At 45.4% G+C, this 4,302-nt stretch overlaps 1 annotated feature.

Annotated features, from left to right (window-relative positions):
• Positions 3,125 to 3,624: an enhancer, noted in NCBI's record as "H3K4me1 hESC enhancer chr1:69875655-69876154 (GRCh37/hg19 assembly coordinates)". NCBI's record gives its function as "activates a minimal SCP1, AML or CMV promoter by ChIP-STARR-seq in primed H9 embryonic stem cells {active_cell/tissue: H9 hESC(primed)}" and the evidence as "EXISTENCE:reporter gene assay evidence [ECO:0000049][PMID:30033119]".

Here is a 4,302-nt window from a genome sequence, read left to right as displayed (position 1 = left end):
TGACTACTTAACTTCCTAAAAGAGATAGGAATCCAGGATATTCCTGTGTTTCTGACTCTTCCTACCATATAATAAAACATCTATTTAATTTAACTCATCAAAAGTACTTAGTTGATTCCTGAAAGCTCTTTTAAGAGAGGTTATATGAAATCAGCTGGGACAGGTCAGCGGAAGAAATACATTTTTGGCCAGAGAAGGGAGTCCGTTATGCACCTTTCAAATAATAACCCAGAAGGAAAGTCTGACTCTGCCTCTGTAAATAGCTTTCCTGGTAATAGGGATGGTAGAGGTCATCTGTGCTTGTAATAGTGGTGTCTGGAAACTAATCGTAACACCTGTTTCTAGAGTATAAATTGCACAGACAATAGTGGCTCAGAGCCTGGTTTTGATAGGACAGAAATACTGTGATATTCCTTCAGGTATTGATTTTTCCCCATTTATTACTTTGTCCCAGGACTTTGGTATTGATTAAAAAGACACTGCTAGTTAATTTTGAGGCCATAGCTATGTGGCTAAGGAGAAGCCACAGGTTAGTGGTATTGCCTATCTTACTCAAGCCAAAACAAAGATACATTTAGTTTATGTCACCCTCTGTTCTCTATCTCAGTCTTTCTATTTATATTCAAGCCTTAAGTTTGTTTAGCCACATGATACAATAAGGCCTTATAATCTGTCTTTATTTATGGGTAAACTAATGTTTTCATCACTTGCTTCACTCTTGATAAGAATACTTATGCTGAAAATAGTGGGGAAGACAGGAATATTCTGAATCCACATATTTCTCTCGGGGAGTCTTCTGTTTAATATTTTCAAACAGAGAAAATAACTTACTACATTTGCTTCTTTTATAGCCATTAGTAGTACTAAGTAACTCATATGTACACAATATACAAAAATTCCAAAGTTTCTGAAAGTATGGTCAGCAGATAACCTGCATGATCAATATTTGCAGATAACCTGCAGAATGCATGATCAATATTTAAATTTGTCGGTCTCACCCCAGATCTAAGTCCACATCTCTGGTGGAGGGCCCAGGAATTGACATTTAAATGTTTCCTGTGCAAACATGATTCATATACACACTATTTAATATGCACAGTGGAAAGTTCTGTCACATATATTACCTCACAGAGCCTTCTGGAGTAGGTATAATTATCTCCAATTTCCCAGTGAGGAAACTGAGACACAGAGATGTAAACCATTGGAATAAATTCATATGTAAACTGATCTGGGATGCCAGTTCTCCTGATGCCAGGTTCAATGCTTATCTCATTACATCATCCTTACTCTCTGCAAAGAATCTCTGTCTTAGAAAAGAGATTTTGTCCACACAGAGCTTTCTAAGCAGCATAGCCCAAATGCCTGTCCTTTGCTCTGTGGAACCAATTATTGAGATCGTGTATTATGATAACTTTCAGCACACACACTGGGCTTTTCATTTTCAGAGTGCCCAATTTTGATAAAGCACTTTGGAGCTTGCTTGGAGGTTCTGTATATAAAAGCCATGTCATGGATAAAGCAGGTTTAACACCTGTGAGTGATAGCACAATATGAGGGTCACCAGGAGCAGAGACACTGCCACTGTTAGAGCAGGTAGAGAAGACTTATAGCAGACTTTGATGAATGACTCAGCCTCAAGTCCACAGATGTAAAGCTCATTAAATGCAATCCAGAATTACCTTCTCTAACAAATGAGAAAAAGTGACATTTTTCCTATCTGAGATCTTTAGCATTTTGTGGGCCAGCAAAATAAGTTACTGATAAAGACTGGTCTTCTAATTTACTTAGCTGGGAAGAATTTCAAGTATTCCCTCCAGCAAACACATGAAAATAACAACCATGGCCACTAGTAACAGCTACTGATATTGAATGCTCACTATATTCCACAAAGTTAGCCTATAGCTTATTATAACTATCTTACTTCACAGATTTGGATCATGATCCCCAAACACACAATCTCTATTGACATTCCTGAATGTTGAAATCCCAAAAGATCAAAACCTTTATTTATACAATGTATTGTATGTTTCAAAATAGCTGGAAGATAGGACATGTTTCCATATCCTGGATGATATATGCTGGAGGTGGTGGATACCCTAAATACACTGACTGTATCATTATACTTTCTAAGCATGTAACAAAATATCACATGTACTCCATAAATATGAAGACATATTATGTGTCAATAAAAATAAAAATGCATCATTTGCCTGCAGTGGAATCCCTTCCAGCTGATAACATTCGAGGAGCTTTTAATAAATTAAAGTTGCATTTGCCTTAAGAAGCCAGTGATAGGGAAGGCACTAAGATGGTTGACTAGAAGCAGCTAGTGTGTGCTGCTTTCACAGAAGAAAAAGTGTCAAGTAAATACTAGCTCTTCAACTGCAACATCCAGGTGGACACATTGGGATTCATCAAGGAAACAGCTCGACCCATGGAGAATGGAGAGGAGTGAGACAGGATGACCACCCACCCAGGCATGGCATGGAGCCAGGAGAGACCTCACACTGCAGGGAAATGGTGAGTGAGTGAGAATCCCCAGGAGCCCACACTTCTGCCATGGACCTTTGCAACTCTGGGCTCAGGAGATCTGCTATTACCCCCAACAACTGAGGCCTCCAGACTAACATGGAGAGCTTTGTGGAGTCTGGCTTCCGCTCATGTACACCCAGAGTCCTGGGAGCCTTGAATCCCTGGGCATCCTGGCATTCACAGCTGCAGGTCTGGCAACAGGGAGGTCAGGCTCCCTTGCATGCTCCCAGGAAGGGGACAAGAACTATGGATCTGAGCAGGGACAGACTGCAAGCCTTGCCTCCAATGCACCTCGCAGGAAAAATCCCACTGGCCTGGGACTCTAGCATGGCCACACCAAAACTGCCTAGGCTCTCAGACCAGTAGCATCTCTGTACTTCCCTGGGATGGAGCTTCCAGAGATAGAGGCTGGCCACGAGCTTTGCTGCCCCACAGCCCTCACCCTGTTGCCCTCAGGCTCTGGATGGTGCATGGTGATTAGGGACTGCCACGGAACTCCAGCACAGTGAAGCCACCTCATGGAAAAGTGGCCAGACTGTTTTCCACATAGTTCCCTTCCCTGCTTCTCCTCACTTAGTGGGGCCTTCTGACCTAGACTCCAGCACAACTACGCTGCCTCTGTCTGAAAACTTCAGTGGGTGGCAGCTCTGCTTTTCTCTCTGGAGGAAATCCCAGAGACAATCCACAGTCCCTCCATCACTTTAGCTGAAGTGGTACTGCCCTAACTGCCCTCGGGCTGGGGAAGGAACAAAGGGCCTGGTGGCTGTGCTGGCAACTCCAGCACACTGCAGCCACCAGATGGAGGGGAGCCAAGTCTCTCTTCCCAGGCCCTACCCCACACTCTTCACCAAACAGAGCCCCTGGCTCAGGACCACAGAACAGCCACCCCACCCATGGCTGAGCATACCAACTGGTAGTGTCATAGGATCTGTAGTGTGTAACTTTTCCAGCCAGAAATCTGTGAAAGGTGGCACCTTTACCCAAGTTTTGCTTGAGCCCACTGGTCTCATTCTGCCCACTTGGCCTGGCAGGCTTCCCCTGGGAGCACTACTGGCCTGGATCCCATGCCTGCCAGGGTGGGCCAGGTGCAGAGAAGTGAGGGGTGGGTGAGCAAGCATGGGGTCCAGACACTGTGCACAGCCAGGTGTGCTGGCTGCAGAGGGGTGAGCAGCTGCAGGCTCCAGCACAGGTGCTAGCTCCATCCAAGGCTGTGGCTGGATCAAGTGTACTGCAAGTGCCTTCCACTGCAGGCACCGGGGAATGCTTTGGTACCTAGAAGCTTGGAGATGCCAGGAACCATAGAACCCCAAAGAGGGTGTCACAGCCCTGGTTCAGGGAGCCCCTAGGTTTGGGATCCCCAAAGGGCCACAGTTCTTTCCTTCTTATTGCCTGAAACATGGCAAGTGGGGGCATGTTTCAGCCCCGTTTGTGTTACAGCTCTTTCAGTCCCACCATTCAGCAGCTCTCAAGTTCTTGTCCTGCATCTAAGAACAATGAGGAATGCAGACAACTGGAGGGTGTGCAAGGAAGAGAGGAGATTCACTGAGCGATGGAGAAGCTCTCAAGTGACCCAAAGTGGTTAGCTTCTTTCCACAGGCAGGTCATCCCAATATCTGCCTGAGTCTGGCTGAGTTCAGGGTTTGTATGGGCTTCAGAGGGGAGGAAATGTGTGCTGATTGGTCCATAGGCGGCCAAGGGCAGGGCCAGAAAAAACATGATAAGTGCTCACTCCAGTCCACAGAACTGGCAGCCCAGCCCCCAAGCTTCAGG

The sequence above is a fragment of the Homo sapiens genome, chromosome 1, assembly GCF_000001405.40.
Source record: "Homo sapiens chromosome 1, GRCh38.p14 Primary Assembly".
NCBI classification, from domain to species: Eukaryota; Metazoa; Chordata; class Mammalia; order Primates; family Hominidae; genus Homo; species Homo sapiens.
The sequence above is the reverse complement of the archived record's forward strand: the minus strand, read 5'-3'. Positions and strand labels throughout refer to the sequence as shown.